Source organism: Homo sapiens, chromosome 22 (genome assembly GCF_000001405.40).
Source record: "Homo sapiens chromosome 22, GRCh38.p14 Primary Assembly".
Taxonomy (NCBI): Eukaryota; Metazoa; Chordata; class Mammalia; order Primates; family Hominidae; genus Homo; species Homo sapiens.
The window spans coordinates 34,995,962-35,012,746 of NC_000022.11; the positions used below are offsets into that span (position 1 = coordinate 34,995,962).

General features: G+C 46.4%; 1 long non-coding RNA gene across 1 annotated transcript in view; it reads right to left on the minus strand.

The window, feature by feature from the left end:
- The window catches only part of LINC02885 (long intergenic non-protein coding RNA 2885), a 241,252-nt gene extending 239,297 nt beyond the window's left edge, over positions 1-1,955 (minus strand). Inside the window, exon 1 of the long non-coding RNA NR_138042.1 lies at positions 1,758-1,955. This is a non-coding gene — a long non-coding RNA (long intergenic non-protein coding RNA 2885). The remainder of the gene's footprint in view (positions 1-1,757) is intronic.
- Between the last annotated feature and the right edge of the window lie 14,830 nt (positions 1,956-16,785).

A 16,785-nucleotide genomic window follows, 5' to 3' on the forward strand; every position in this document is an offset into this window, starting at 1 on the left:
GGAACCAGAACTAAGCTGAAGCCTTTGCCATCCTTGGCAATGATATCTCCAAACTCAGGCCTTCTGATCCAAATAAAGCATTTGGGAGGTTTATTAGACACCATAGTACCAAGCTTCACAATTGAGGCTCACTTTATAGGTGGAGTCACTGAGGCCAGAAAGGTTGAGCAAATTGTCCAAGGTCAACAGTCTTGGTGGAGCTGGGAATCAAATCAAAGTTTTTTGGGTTTTGAGGTTCTTACTATGTGACAGACAAGATGCTCAACTCCAAAGATGTTCAATTAAATATGGCCCAGGCCCTACCCTTGAGAACACTCAATCTAGGGAGGCGTGGGCAATTAGAATGGAGATGTATCTTTCTGAGAAGAAAGATTCTTCAAGAATTTGACTGCAGTCTTCACATGTATGTGAAGCACTGTCCTTTGAAAGGCAAAGTAAAAGGTAGCATAACACATTGACTTTGGGTCAGGCAAACCCAGGTTCAATTTCCACCTCTTTCACTCAAGCCTTGTGACCTTGGGCAAGTCATTTAACTTGATGGGCATTTAACTTGCTGAGCAAACCTCAATTTGCTCATCTCTAAAATGGACATGATAACAACACTTACCTCCATAGGCTGCCCACAGCCCATCAGGAATGGGCTCCATCTTTAGTTCTGCCCCTTCCCCCAGGATTTAAGTCTAAGTATAGCAGAGACTCCAGGGATCTTGTTCATTGTATTATGTCTGGCACACAGCACAGGCACTATGTGGATGGAGGAGGGTGACCACAGAGAGGCATCCCAGGCAGAGGGGAAAGCATGAAAAAAATCATGAAGGTGTAAAACAAAGGGGTGTATTCAGAAAACTGGAAATAATGAGTAGGTATGGCTGCACCTATGAAGGAGTATGGCAGAGGGAGTGGGCAGGGATGTTGGCAATGAAGGGGAAGGTGGGAACCTGTGGGCTGTGATGCAGACCTGCACTTTACCCCCAGGTTCCTTACCTTGAGTTCTGTGTCGAGTCTGTTCATCCCTGTATTTCTCACGAGCGGGCTGGGCAGACACTGTGAATTGTCTACCCAAAGACTATTTATAACCAATTCCTCCTTGTCTTTCTCTATTTCAAAGGTTGAGAAGGGTAAAATAACCTATTTCCCACCTGCCTGGCGAGCCATACACAGCAGCTGTGGCCAGCGAGATGTAGCAGAAGGCCCAGGGAATGTTTTTCTTTCTAGAAAAAGTCGTGTGTGTGTGTGTGTGTGTGTGTGTTTGTGCTTTGTGTCCGTGTGTGCATGAATGTATGTATGTTGCCCTTTTCTCCTTGGTGCTGCTTGTCCCTTACCCCTTCTTTCCTACTGGAAGACTCCTAGGGATGCAACAGCCATGGTGCAAGTAACTATGAGGTGACAAGCATAAGAGTACAGGCCTACGTGGTAAGAAAGGCGATGAAGCACTTGGTCTATTTGACAAATAATCCTTTATGTGTTTAAGCCACTATGGAGGTGTTTTTCTATTACATGTAGCCAAAAGCAATCCTGGTTCATGCAAGGACTTCCTAGCCACCCTATCCGGGTAGCCCTACTTGGACAGATCTTTGCTGATTCCTCTTATCCTTGGACCAATCTTCTGTATGTTTCCAACTGGGCTCATCAAGATGCAACCCCTGCCCCCATAAGGTTTAGACTTGAAGTCCTTCCACATCATGATCCTGGTTTCGTGACCAAGACATTTATTTCCTTTCATTATCAAGGTGAGATGTAAGACAGAAATGACTTACCGACTGATGCGCGGCCTCTGTTTTGTGGCTTTGTCTCACGCTGTTTGGGCTCCCAGCTTCCTGACTGCTCTGTCTGCCACGCTGAAAACACTGCCACTCCCAGGATACCAGGCTTAGAAGAAGCCTTTCAGGGAATTGTGCTGGAGCAAGAGCAAATCTCAATATGTTTATCCTTATGTTTTTTCTTTTCTGCATTGCCTAGAGGATAATTAGGATTATGATAATCACTTTACTGTATGTTTTTTTTTAACTTCTACAATAAGCTCTTTGGAACCAAAGGGAAGAGCCCAGAGGGAAGATGGACATGGAGCTTATGCCGTAAGGACAGACCAGAAACAGAAGGCAGAGAGTCAGGCAGCCCTGTCACCAGGGAAACCAGAGGAGGGTTTGTGGTGTCAGCAAAAACTGACAAAGACTTGGAAATGAACAAAACCAAGCACTGGGCATCCTTTCCCTGGAGTTCTGTGTATTATCCCGTGGATCTCCAGGGATTACCTACTTTTACCAGGATGAGTACCTTTGGCCGACTTCAATCAGCTGGGTTATTTTACAGCTCTCTATGGTTAGAAGTTATAGAGAGCTCATAGTAATGCAAATGATTCTTGTCCATAGCAATGAAAATGAATTTTATTGGGAAAAATATAATCCCAATCATTACATTTTATTGCCCAAGAGCAGTGGATCTCAAAGTGTCACCTGGGTACATCAGATTGCCTGAGACACTTTCGAGGAGCCTGTTAAGTGAAACTATTTTCATAATAATAGTAAGGCACTATTTGCCTTTTTCACTCTCATTTTCTCATGAGTGTACGGCGACGTCTTCCAGAGACTACATGACTTGTGATACTTTTAGTATTGCTCTGACAGCAAATGGAATTTGCACTTGTGTATTCTTGTGTTTTAAAAATGTCTCAGTTTTAACTTCTAAAACAGCAAATATTGGGCGGGCATGGTGGCTCATGCCTGTAATCCCAGAACTTTGGGAGGCCGAGGCAGGTAGATCACTTGAGGCCAGGAGTTCGAGACCAGCCTGGCCAACATGGCAAAACCCTGTCTCTACTAAAAATGCAAAAAAAAAAAAAAATAGCCAGTCATGGTGGCACATGCCTGTAATCCCAGTTACTCAGGAGGCTGAGGCATAAGAATTGCTTGAACCCAGGAGGTGAAGGTTGCAGTGAGCCGAGATCGCACCATGGTACTCAAGCCTGGGTGACATAGACTCTGTCTCAAAATAAATAAATAATTTTAAAAACAGCAAATATTGATAGATATAACGCAAATAAACAAAAGCTCTTTGAGAAATCCTCAATAATTTCCAAGACTGTAACAATAAGCCAAAACCAAAAAGTTTGAGAACTGCAGCCCTGTAGAATATGAACTAATTTAACTAATTTTGCATCTATCAGCAAATTTATTTCCGCATCCCTGATTGGTGTGTGTGTGTGCAAGTAGGTGTGTGTGTGCATGTGTGTGTGTTCTCCTTGAAACTGTTTTAATATCTTACTGATCCTTTATTAACTGAGTTAAATAAAATCTTATTTATTTTATATCTGAACGTCATGTTTTCAACTTTTTGAAAAATGATGCTCAAATGCTAGGCTTGGAGTAGAAGAAGGAGATGTGAGTTGTGGCCAAGAAGAAGACCAAAGAACCAAGACCACGTGGAGGGCACCCAGGCAGCCTGGGATGGGTCTCATATGCTCTTTGTGCCCAGCAGCACGGAGCCACGTAGGAGTCCAGTCAATACCCCAGACTATGCCTCATGGTTCAAGCAAGGACAGCACTTGAATGAAGTCCTGCCTAGCAGCCCAGGTCCCCCATGGACTATCCAGCAGGAGGACAACAGCCACACCCAGAGGCTTTGCTAAGCCTATCCAGATTTTCTGACATGGAAATCCCACTTTTCAATGGCCCTGTGTTTTAGTAAGCCCCTTCAAAACAAAAGACAAAGCTCTTGACACCCAGAGCAGGTGTAGAAGGGAAAGTCTTGCTCCCAGTCCTAGAGTAAAACTGGGCAATATCACACCATCCAACTACATGGCCCAATCCCCAGAAAAGGCAAGAGACCTGCCCAAAATAGCACAGACTCTTGGAGGAGGAGACAGGAGCAAAATGCAGGCACCTGTCTCCCAGCCCAGGGCTCTTGCTCCTGCTTTCTACTGTCTCATTATGCCGACAAATCTACTAACACGTGCACTCAATTTTCCTAGGAGTCAATACCTTTGTCAAGGCCACCAGAGCTCCCAAGAGGAGACAGGATGTGGATTTTGTAAGCTCCATCACTGGCTCTTCTCTCTTTGAGCAGTCCTTATCCTCACTGAGCCTCAGTTTCCTCACTTGATTGTGAAGATGGTAAGAGGAATAAAACAAACTAGCCAGGCGTTGAACCCACAGGAGTTGCTGAGCAAACATTTGCTGACTCAGAATCCTTTTCTCTTTAAATTAATTCCTGCCTATTGCTCTCCAGCCTGAATCCAAGTGCTGGCCAATGGAAAGGTACCAGCAGTGCAAGGAGAGCGGGTGGGAGCCAGGAAGATAAAGAAGGAGCGGCCGGGCTGGATGGAAATCACTCCTGGTCAAATGGAGTCATGTGGTATGGAAAACTTTTAAAGGAATCCCTTAAAATGTGTGTTTGTGTGTGTGTGTGTGTGTGTGTGTGTATGTGAGAGAGAGAGAGAGAATGTGTGACACCCCCTTAGTGTAGCAGATATAATATTATAAATGTGTGAGTATTCCTGTAGTCCTCTCCCCTCAGATGCTAAAAGGGGGGGATTCTTGCCTGCAATCTCAGCCTACATCGCTCCTTTGCTGGGGAGAATTTAGGATAATGGGTGAGACAGAGAGAATTTAAGGACCCCTGAGAGGCTACAATAATCTAGATAAAGGGTTGGCAAACTATGGCCGTGGGCCAAATACAGCCCTTGACCTGAGCTAAGAATGGTATTTAGATTTTTACTTCTAATTTAATTTTATTTTATTTATTTATTTATTTTTTTTTGAGACACAGATTTGCTCTGTCGCCCAGGCTGGAGTGCAGTGCCGCAATCTCGGCTCACTGCAACCTCCACTTCCCAGGTTCAAGCAATTCTCCTGCCTCAGCCTCTCAAGTAGCTTGGATTACAGGCACCTGCCATCACGCCCAGCTAATTTTTGTATTTTTAGTAGAGACAGGGTTTCACCATGTTGGCCAGGCTGGTCTCGAACTCCTGACCTCAAGTGATCTGCCTGCCTCAGCCTCCCAAAGTGCTGGGATTACAGGTGTGAGCCACTGCACCCAGCAGGTATTTAGATTTTTCAATTGTTGAAACAAAATCAAAACAAAGTACTGTTTCATGGCATGAAAATTATATAAATTTCAAATTTCAGTGTACACAAATGAAGTTTTAATGGAAGACGGCCACGTTCGCTAATTTAAATATTGTCTGTGGCTGCTTTGAGGCTACAGTGGCAGAGGTGAGTAGTTGCTACAGAGACCATGTGGCCTGCAAAACCTAAAATGTTTACTCACTGGTCCTTTAAGGAAGAAGTTTGCCAACCTGATCTACACAATAAGCCGAGAGAGAGGAAACAGAATGCAGGCAGAGCGTCAGGAAGAATGTGAAGGAGGGAGGTGGGAGTTAAGGGGAGGCAAAGATATCTGGGGGTGAGTGAAGAAGCCACCATCTCCATGAAAATACTGAGAGAGAGAAGCAGCATTAGAGAAAAAGAGAGAGGATCTCCAGGATGTTTCTATATTTTAAGAATACACCAGCCAGACACAGTGGCTCACACCTGTAATCCCAGCACTTTGGGAGGCTGAGGCAGGCACATCACTTGAGTCCAGGAGTTTGAGTCTGGGCAACATGGCAAAACCCTGTCTCTAAAAAAATACAAAAAAAAAAAAAAATTAGCCAGGCATGGTGGCATGCGCCTGTATTCCCAGCTACTCAGGAGGCTGAGGAGGGAGGATGGCTGTAGTTTGAAAGGCAGAGGTTGCATTGAGCCCAGATCGTGCCATTGTACTCTAGGCTGGGTGACAGAGTGATCTTGTCTCAAAAAAAAAAAAAAAAAAAGTTGGTAAAGTTTTGTTGATATGGATAGAAACATCTGTCATAAAAATCAGAAAACATATATGAGAGTAATGTATGTCACCAAATTCAAGACAGTAATTCCCTCTGGGAGAAAAGGGAGATAAAGCTATATCTGTCATATATTGAGTCTTTCAAATTAAAATATTATATATTTTAAGAAAATAAGCTGTTAAGAAATGAAAGAAAAAAAGGTTAATTAGTGATACAGACGAAACAACAAGAAGTGATTTTTTTTTTTTTGTCATAGTCCCTGATGTCCAGGACTAGGGAAGTAAAAGTCCAAGTGAACTTCTTGGTCCTAGGCTCCTCTACACTATTTTTTGTTGTGGTTGTGGTAGTGGTGGTTGTTAGGCTATGTACTATATTTTGCAGCGAATCTAAGACATACATCTTTTTCACATTTTAACAACTCTGAAATAGGGCTGCATTTTACAATGGGTGGTACAAGATAACTAAATTGGCAGAGTTTTTTCCTTCCTTGGTGCTACAAAAAAATAATGATTTGGCTGGGCACGGTGGCTCATGCCCTGTAATCCCAGCACTTTGGGAGGCCAAGGCAGGTGAATCACGAGGTCAGGAGATTGAGACTATCCTGGCCAACATGGTGAAACCCCATCTCCACTAAAAATATAAAAATTAGCTTGGTGTGGTGGTGCACACCTGTAGTCCCAGCTACTCAGGAGGCTGAGGCAGGAGAATCGCTTGAACTTGGGAGGTGGATGTTGCAGTGAGCCGAGATTGGGCCACTGCACTCCAGCCTGGCGACAGAACGAGACTCCATCTCAAAAAAAAAAAAAAAAAAAAAAAAGTGATTCATTTTATAATCAGTAGTATATTAAATCTTCTTTCAAAGGGATAAATAAATAAAGATTCTGTTCTTCAGCATTCCATTGAGAGACCAGGTGAGAAATGAAGCACTGTTGGTTTCCTTTTGGAAAGGCGGGCTTTTTTGAGTGAGACACTGTATTGAGACAGGGCCACAGGCAGCCCCAGGATTTACCTGTTTAATTACCTTATGGGAGGAGGAGAAGAGGAGAGTTTGAGTCATATACTGTTGTTTCAGATTATCTCTTCCTAGAAAACAAAGAGAGTAAAAGTCATACTGAGTTGCTTTGATTTAGAAGATGTGATGAATCGGAGAAAGCTCTGTGCTGGTCAGCAGAACCCAACCTGGGAAAAATATCTGTCCTAATTCCTAAGTGTTATTAAACTTTGTCTCCCAGAGTAAAATAAAGTACAGAGTCAATAGTAATTAAGCCTTCTTTCCTCTGAGTGGGTCTTAGAAGTAAGGTATTCTATAAGAAACAAGTCCCTACTTCCTGATACAACCATCCCGTGGGAGAGAAAGCAGAGAAAGCAAACTGTGCTCTGTTGAATAGAACTGGGAGCAGAGGAGGGTGAGGGTTTGGGAAGGCTTGAGCTGTAGTCAGAGGTCATGGCTGCAGAAGGATACACAAAATCCATCCTGTTCAGATGAAACTCTGAGAATCAGCTCCTTCATCCTTGCTACCATGCAGGAGCCTTGGAGCCTTGGAGAACTTAAAAGAATGAGGCATGATCCTCAAGAAGCTATGAATATGACATCTGTCATCAGCCACACCCATCCCAAGAAGAACAAGGTTCAAACCCTGAAAGTCTTCTCTGATGCCAGAAATGAAATACTGAGGGGGCAGGCAGCCTCTGCAAGCCAGATAAGGAGGTGTCATTGCCTTTAAGTGTTGAATTCAGTAGACCCACATGGGTAATTTATGGATTCATTCATTCAGCACACATTTTTTGAGCACTTACTATATGCCAGGCACTGTTTTAGGTACCTGAGACACAGCCCTTTCTTAGCGGTTCTTACATTTCTCCAATTCAAACGCCATATAAATTACCTCCCTTAATTCTCTATTATTAGTAGTAAACAGTAGAGCTGGGATTTGAATCCACAGTATCAAGATTCAGAGTCTGTTCTTAACTACTATGCTATATCACCCCTCCAGATGGAAATTGAAATTAAAATACTGCATCTGAAAATTGTTATGCTCTCTTAGAAGTCATTCTAAAACAACCGATAAAACCCTGGGTTTTGGAATCATTGGGAATTAGAATTCCTTCCTCTCTGCTGGCCTCTGATCTCTGTAATGACAGAGACCATATCTGGCTTGAGACTGTTGTGTTCCAAAGCATCAAGCCTAGCACATACTAGGAACTCACTAAACATTTGTTGACTGACTGAATGAATGAGTTCATATACCAGTGGTAGGATCTTGGAAGAATGACCTAATCAATCTACCCTTAGTGTCTTAGTCCATTTCTGTTGCTATAACAAAATATATTAGACCGGGTAATTTATAAACAATAGAGGTTTTATTGCTCACATTTCTGGAGACTGAGAAGTCCAAGATCTAGGCACCAGCAGATTCACTGTCTGGTGAGGGCTAACTCTCTGCTTCAAAGATGGTGCCTTCTTGCTGCATCCTTACATGGTGAAAGGGGCTAAAAAGCTCTTTTATAAGGGCTCAGCGTTCATGACCTAATCATCTGCTAAAGGCCCCATCTCTTTTTTTTTTTTTTTTTTTTTGAGACAGAGTCTCGCTCTGTCGCCCAGGCTGGAGTGCAGTGGCGCAATCTCGGCTCACAGCAAGCTCCGCCTCCTGGGTTCACGCCATTCTCCTGCCTCAGCCTCCCGAGTAGCTGGGACTACAGGCACCCACCACCATGCCTGGTTAATGTTTTGTATTTTTAGTAGAGACGGGGTTTCACCATGTTAGCCAGGATGGTCTTGATCTCCTGACCTCGTGATCCGCCCGCCTCAGCCTCCCAAAGTGCTGGGATTACAGGCATGAGCCACCTCGCCCAGCCAAGGCCCCACCTCTTAATACCACTGCACTAGTGATTTTTAACATATGAACCTGGATGGCGGGACATCTATAAATATATTCAAACAATAGCAATCAGGTATTCTGCATGTATCAATATTTCCTTACAGAGCCACCGTATTAAGTGAAATTAGAAATTTCGAACACATAACACAATGCCTAACACACAGTAAGCACTCAATAAATAAGTCTGATACCACCTGGCATGTGTCACACACCTGATCCACAAGCAGATGTTTTAAGGAACACAGAGCTTGGCTTGGAAGACAAATAAGCACATAGCAGAGACAATTGTTGATTTGGGGGTTGGAAGGGCAGAAGAAATGAAGGGGATTAGAACTAACTCTCCTTGATAATAACAGTTTCCCATCCTTTCTGGGTGTGCCCCCATGACAGGCAGTGTTTGCAAGCAATAGCACCCACCTGCCCTGATAGAAATCTGCAGGATTCATCCTCAGCTTCTCAGCCCTAGCATCTTCAGGCGCCCAAATATATGATTCACACTCAGATAGTCTCTGTCTTTCTCTCTCTCTCTCTCTCTCTCTCTCTCTCTCTCTCTCTCTCTCTCTCTCTCTCTCTCTCTCTCTCTCCATTTCTTTTTTTTTTTCTCTCTCTCTCAAAGGGCTGACCAGGCATCAGAGTCAACACAGGGCCAGTATTGCAAGCCCTCCAGGCTGTTCTCACAGTTTAGTTGGTGCCATGGGTACCACCAATGCTGTGGGTCTAGCTACATCATGTTTATCTGATACCCCTCCCTAATATCTTTCCAACAATTCCCTTTGTGCTTGAGGCAACTGTTTTGAGTTGAACTATATCTCACCCCAAAATGTATATGTTGAAGTCCTAACCCTCAGTACCTCCAAATATGACCAACCCTGCCAACACTTTGGCCTTGGACTTCTAGCCTCCAGAACCATGAGAAAATTAACAGGTATTATTGAAGCCCTCCAGTCTGTGGTACTTTGTCATGGCAGCCCTATAAGCCAATACAGCATCCATGGTCAGTTTCCACTATCTGCAGTCCCTAAGTGATGCAGCTTATGACTTTTAAATTTGAGATGGGCGCAGACTGTGGTGATAAGCAGCATGGGATGGAAGTTAAAAGCCTGGACCTTGGAGTCCAGCTGCCTAGGGTCAGATGTTCACTCTGCCATTTCTACTGCAGGACCCTGGGTCAGACCTTTCATGTCTCTGTGAGCCTTGGGTTGCTCATCTCTAAAAAGGAGCTAATAGTTTCATTTTCCTCATGGGGGTGCTACAAATAGGATTAAAATATGAAAAATAGAACAGTGCATGGCACAAAGTAAGTGCTGCATAGGTATTATTTATTACATCTATTGTCCTCTTGGTGGAAAGACAAATGTGTAAGAGAATCAGAGAAGGCTTGTCTTAGAGGTGGGATTGGAGCTGGGCTCTACCCAGCCTTCTGTGGGATGTTCTTCTCTCTCAGGTTCTGCCCAAGTGAAGTTTTTCCCCCTTCATCTACCTCAGGACCATGGGGTGGGCGCTCTAGTTCATGAGCATCTATGATGAAGAGGCTACATCTACACAAAGATTACCCACCACGTTTTAAGCCATGGAACCATACAAAGAGGAGTTGGGAGAACCCTGCCTCCTCACCCCCTTCTCCTTGCCCAACAGTGGGTGGGGGTGGGGGTCTGAGGGTGCTGTGGAGGGCAGTGTGAAAACAGCCAGTTCTAATCCAAACCACCCATTTTACACCCGTGGAAACTGAAGCTCAGAGAAGAAAAGTGCTGCCCCCAAAGTCACGTAGCCAGCTCATGGCAGGGCTAAAAGCAGGAGCCAGGTCTTGACACTGGGAATAAAAAGCCATCATAAACCATTTATGACCCCCTTATGCCAAGAAGAGAAATGGTGTGAAGAGAGGAGGAAATAGAGTTTCCTACTGCCTGGAGCAGCCATGGGATGTCAGTCCTTAGAGGAAACTAAAATGCCGGAGAGATTTGGAAGCTGGGCTGGCAGGCCATGGCCCCTGCACTGACATTACCCCACCCTGACCCTAGACAGCCTGGCCCTTGGGCTGCCGGCCCCACACTATGCCCTGCGAGTCACTGACCCTCCTTTCCCTTGCCTCCCTTTCCAGCTGGGGGTCTTCCCTTACCTCTTCCTCCCTCTCATCTTGATTTGACATGTTGTGGCTTCGTAAAAGGAACATTGAACGAAATAGACAGAGCTGGATCCAGAGGGAAATTTAAACTCTTCAGCAGTGGGCACAGTACAGACCCTGACTAATCATATGTGCAGTGCTGTGTAAGCAACTTAGGTGTTCATTTCACTCTCACAACCACCCTATAAAGTAGACACCATTCATAGCCCGCTTTTACACATGAGGAAACGGAGGCACTAGAGCAAGTTGCTCACGTGAGGTTATCAGCTTCCAAGTGGCAGGATTAGAACCCTGCTCAAGGCCAAGCCTGTGCACCTGACCACATCTTTATATGGACCCCAGGTAAATGGAGGTGGCTAAAGTAACCCGTGAATGTGTAATGGTCACTTTTAAGCCTTTGTAGAGGTTGACTCCTTTCCCTACACAAACTCCATGTGTCCTCACTGTCCTTCCTGCCAACCCCAAGCATGCCAGGTGTAGCCCCACCTCTGTGATTTTCTCACATGGTCTCACTTGCCCAGAAGGGTCACACCTTGCTCCCTCTCAACCCAAGCCCTTCTGTCTGCAAAACAGCAAGAAATTCAGATGAGGTGGTACCAGATAGGGAGCACAGGCGTGGGGAAATGAGACCTTTATCCTCACTCATCAGCTGTGTGACCTTGAGTAAGTGCCTGCGTAAGTGCTGGAGCTCTCTCGGTCTCAGTTATCTCATTCATTAGGTCAGAAGCAACAGCAACTAACTCACAGGGTTGTAGTAAAGAGTTAACGAGGCTGGGCGGGGTGGCTCACGCCTGTAATCCCAGCACTTTGGGAGGCTGAGGCAGGTGGATCACGAGGTCAGGAGATCGAGACCATCCTGGCTAACATGGTGAAACCCCATCTCTACTAAAAATACAAAACATTAGCCAGGCGTGGTGGCAGGCGCCTGTAGTCCCAGCTACTCGGGAGGCTGAGGCGGGAGAATGGCATGAACCCAGGAGGCAGAGTTTGCAGTAAGCCGAGATCACACCACTGCACTCCAGCCTGGGTGACAGAGCAAGACTCCATCTCAAAAAAAAAAAAAGTTAATGAGAAGTCCGTGTGCTGAGTGCCTAGTACATGACAGCACACAGTAGGTGCTCAAGAAACTGGCTGCTGTGCAAGGGGCTCACGTATGAGCCAGGGGACTGGGGACACCACTCAGTGTCAACCTAAATAATTCCAGAAACATTTTGTGTCCCAGCCTAAACTGGGGACCCCACCCTGCTTATGAGTTCTCCAGCCTTTGGGGGTTCTGACCCCACAAAGGATGCAGCCACCCTGGGTTTCTCGGGGAAAGCCAAGGCCCTGGGAGGTAACTCCACCAGCTCTGTTAGCCTCCCCTGCTCAGCCCCCTGAATCTCCCATCCACACTTCATCATCATACAGCACAGCCTTCCCCAGACTCTGTGAATAAAAGGCCACCCTGGTCAATGGGGCTGACACAAGGGACTGAACGCCCTCCTCTCCAGTGACCCAGGATGGCCCCTGGTGCCCACTGACCTGTGGTTTCTAATGACAGCCCTACAGAAAGTAACTGAATCTCAACCCAATGGCCTTGGAGTCTTGTTAAGGATGGTTGCCCGCAGAGATGGCAATACCAAGAGAGTTTCAGTTCCCTGGTCTGACTCACTCCGCCTCCCCAAAAGCCCCATCAGTCAAAGGGAAGAGTGACCTTTCACTCTGGATGCAAAATAAATGTTGCCCCCTCGGTGTCTTTCAAGCATCTTTTCCTTCCCCTAGCCAGCCACACCCGGCCATCCATCCTGGCAGCCAAGCTCCCACCAACAGCACCCTGCCAGCTCCTTCCACAACCACCCAGGCAAAGTCTGCTCTGAACAGAGAGGGAAGCATTGGCAGATGGGCCAGGAGGGAAGCTGCAGCAAGGAGTGGGGGACTCTGGACTCGGCATCAGGATGCTCAGCCTGAGCCTAACAGCAGCTCAGGAAGAAGAGGGAACCCCAAGAATGTGGAACCCTCATTTATAACCACCACTTTATCTTATGGGTTGGAAAAACTGGGCTCCAAAGCAGGGAGTGACTTGGCCAAGGGCTGAAATAAAATTTCCTGGTAGAGCCCAGCCTGGCTTCTAAAGCCATGCCTTCTCCTGTGCAGAACCATCTTTGCCCATCAACCCTCAAACAAGCACACAGTAAGCACTGCCAGGCACCAGCCCATTGGCTACAGCCATGGGATTTACAAGACGTGTTCACATCCGAGATCTCCTGAGCCCCAACAGCAAATCTCAGCATCCTCTACAAAGCCAGGCACACGCACATTTCTCCCCAAAGCCTGGGGTCTGCACTACCCTTTGGGAAACATAAAGACAGGTCAACCCCTGCTTGGCACAGACAGTTGACCTCGCAGTGATGCTGCATAAAATGTCCAAGCTCAGCATCTCTGAAGCCACAAGCACTGAGTGAAACCTGACTGGATGAATGGGTGGGTGGATGAATGAATGAACAGAAGGAACCACTTCTTTTCCAATATATTGTCTGTGATTTTAAAAAGAGGGTGGGGAGTTTCCAAATATGAGGTGTTCGCTTCCTGGTGGAAAGAATACACAGGCCTCCCCAGAGGGTCTTTCCATTTGAGCTAAGCAAAAAGTCATGGGCCCATAGCAATGTCTGGAACCTCTAAACCATTTTATCAGCTTCTCAAAACCTGGTCACAGTGGGGAAACTGAGGCAAATTCATTTGGTGAAAAACCACAGGTTCTTGACCCAGACTGCCACATACTTTGTGTGGGACCTCGATCAAGTTACTTAACAGCATAATGGCTGAGCTTGACTGCTTTGCCAAGGAAAAGGAAAGAGATGGTGAGGCCCCAGGAGGAGACCCCCATGGAAAACTGGTTAAAAACACAGGGTCTGGAGCCAGACCATCAACCCAGGTGAAGTTATAACATCTCTGTGACTCAGTTTCCTCCCCAGTAATCGGGGATCCCATCCTTTCCTTGTTGGATGATGGTGGGAATGAGATGGGTGCCAGGAACACTGCCTGTCCCAGCAAGGACTCCCAGGGGCCTGGGATTCTCAAAGGGGTGCCACCTCCATTGGATGCCCCTTTCCTTGAGAAACCCCAAAGCCCTTTCAGAGGCTGTTCAGCTGTAACCTCACTCCAAGGGCAGTTTTCTGGATCTCAGTAGCCTTCCTCTTCAAGTTACTGTGATGTCAGAGACATGAAGAAAGTGCCCTCCGCAGACAGAGGGCACCAGGCAAGGAGAGCAATGTCATGGAATGAGACGACATCCACGAAGAATGCGGCCCCCTACCCAGGCGGCCCACTCGCCCGACAGAGCATTTTTCCTAACCAGCACGGTGGGCCTGCACCAGGACCAGGAAAGGAGAACATGAAACAAAATGGTCCATAATTAGAATGGCAATAAAAGCAGGGGGGAGGAGGAAGGCAGTGAACTCTATTAATAGTGCTAATAAATGTTCCAGGATAATACCGCTGTGTTCTGAACCTGCCCGTGGGAGGTGTTGCTTATACTCATTTGCATATTAATTTGGAAGGAAAATGCTGGGCTCTTTCTGCTGGGATAAATCAATTCCAGTGGAAGTTCTCAGATGGGAAGCAGCTAATTCTTCTTCCCTTTTCCTCCCAGCAGGAAGACACCCATTTGCTGCCAGGAAAATATTTTTAAGAGCCACCATGGTGTGAAAAAAACTAGGCCAGAAAACTATAGGCGAAGTGCAGACTTCGCAGATGGCTGGAGCCATGCCGCGATGAGCTTAGGTAAGGCCCAGCTTAGAGGAGACTCAGGAGCCAGGATGAACCAGAGAGAAACCTGGCTTCCCTTGAATAACACCATTGGAGCAAAGATGGCCACCTTGAATTCCAGTGTTTATTGATTGGTACTGGCTGGTAATGGAACGACAGAGTTGAGAAGGATTTTAAATCCAGGACCAGACTCAGAGGACAGAGTGCGGTGATCAATTGGTGATGTCTGCCACGGGAGACAGTATGGTAGGATGCAAGATGTCTGTCACGCTGCCCTGAGGAGAGTCACTGTTCATAACCTGAAACGGGGCATTATGGGCCATTCAAAGCAGGCAGGGTAGAAAATGGGAACAAAACTTCAGAGCAGCCAAGCAGAGCGATAGGCCAAAGAATGTAGAGAGACATAGCCCAAAGAATGCTGAGCATCTACTATGTTTTGGACACTTCAGATGTGGAGGATACGGAGATGACTAAGGCAATGCTTTAAGACATTAAAACTAATAAAGACAGGCATGTAAACAAGACTTATGCTGTAATGAGACATCACTCCTCTGCTTCTTCTAATTACTGGGCTGCCCCTTCCCGCATCCTCCACAAGCTGCTATTTCTCCACTTCTCTTGTTTATTAATACAACATAGAGATTCCTTCCTTGTATCTTTTAGCTCCTCTCCTCACTGTGCATACTCACAAGGGAATCTCTCACTCCTCAAGCTTGAACTTCCTCCTCTGCACCAACAGCTCTCAAAAGTTAGTCTCAAGCCACAGTTTTTCTTCCCAACACCTTTCTTGGATGCACTTTAGGCATCTCCATGATTACAATCCCCATTTTGAAGATGGGGAAACTAAGGCTCAGAGGGATTCCATAACTTCCCCAAGGCTAAACAGCTAGCAGGTGGTAAAGATTAGACCCAAGGTCTGTGTGACCAGGGCCTGCACCCCAACCCCCAGACCATTCTGCTGCCAGCCAATACTGCCCATAACAGCATCACAATTGACCCCAGGAAGAACCTCGCTTACAGGGCGAGATGCCTGAAGACAAACACAGGACATTTCTTCCTCTCACCTCTCTCAACCACAGCCTATGCTGCTTATGATGAGATGTGGGCTGTTACGGTTACTGGATGGGACACTAACCAGATATGCAGGAGGGCTGTGAAGGCAGGAGACGGTTGAGGTTCTGTGACTTTGAGTAAAGCCTGTTTCTTTCGAGCTGTACATTCTTATGACATGACACCGTTCACTCTCATATATCATGAGATTAGCAGTCACCAGACTTCTCCAGTAAACAAGATCCTAAAAGCAGAGTCCTGGGCCGGGTGCAGTGGCTCACGCCTGTAATCCCAGCACTCTGGGAGGCCGAGGCAGGCGGATCACGAGGTCAAGAGATGGAGACCACCCTGGCTAACACGGTGAAACCTCGTCTCTACTAAAAATACAAAAAATTAGCCAGGCGTGGTGGCGGGCGCCTGTAGTCCCAGCTACTTGGGAGGCTGAGGCAGGAGAATGGCGTGAACCCGGGAGGCGGAGCTTGCAGTGAGCTGAGATTGCACCACTGCACTCCAGCCTGGTTGACAGAGCGAGACTCTGTCTCAAAAAAAAAAAAAAAAAAGCGGAGTCCTAAGGAGATGACATCATCCTCACCTCCTTGCTGAGAAGCTGGAGCTCAGAGAGGTCACCATCTTTCTTTCCCAGAGCCCCAGCAGAGCAGAGACCAAGCCCAGAGAGCTCAGGCTTCCAGCCCCAGGAGTTTCCTTTCAATACCAGAATTCTTTCTCTAAAACAGGCCAAAACTAATTCTGAGTGGTGTTTATTAAGCATAGAAATTGAGGAAAAGAGATGTTAGCACGATGATCATGTATTTAAAACATGAATTTTTCAAAGGATCTATTTGTCAGGGAAAATCCTTGGTGCTCTGTATTCCATGTTGCTGCATAGAAAAGAGCTGTGAACACTGGGTGTCTGGGGTCATGGACCACTGCTACGTCCCAGGGCTCTAGTACTTGAAGAGTGGGCACTCCTGGCATCCCTTCCACACAGAAAGGAGAGACTGTTCAACATCACCCCTCAAAGAGGTCTTCTCTCTGACCACCCTCCAAGTCCACAAGAGCAGCTTCATCCTCCTGGGTGCCCACCTGCTCGTTCCTCAGAGCGCTCCCTAGTTGCAGGGAAAGGGAGTGTGGCATCAGGGCCAAAAGCAGGGGTTCCAGGACCAGACTGCCTA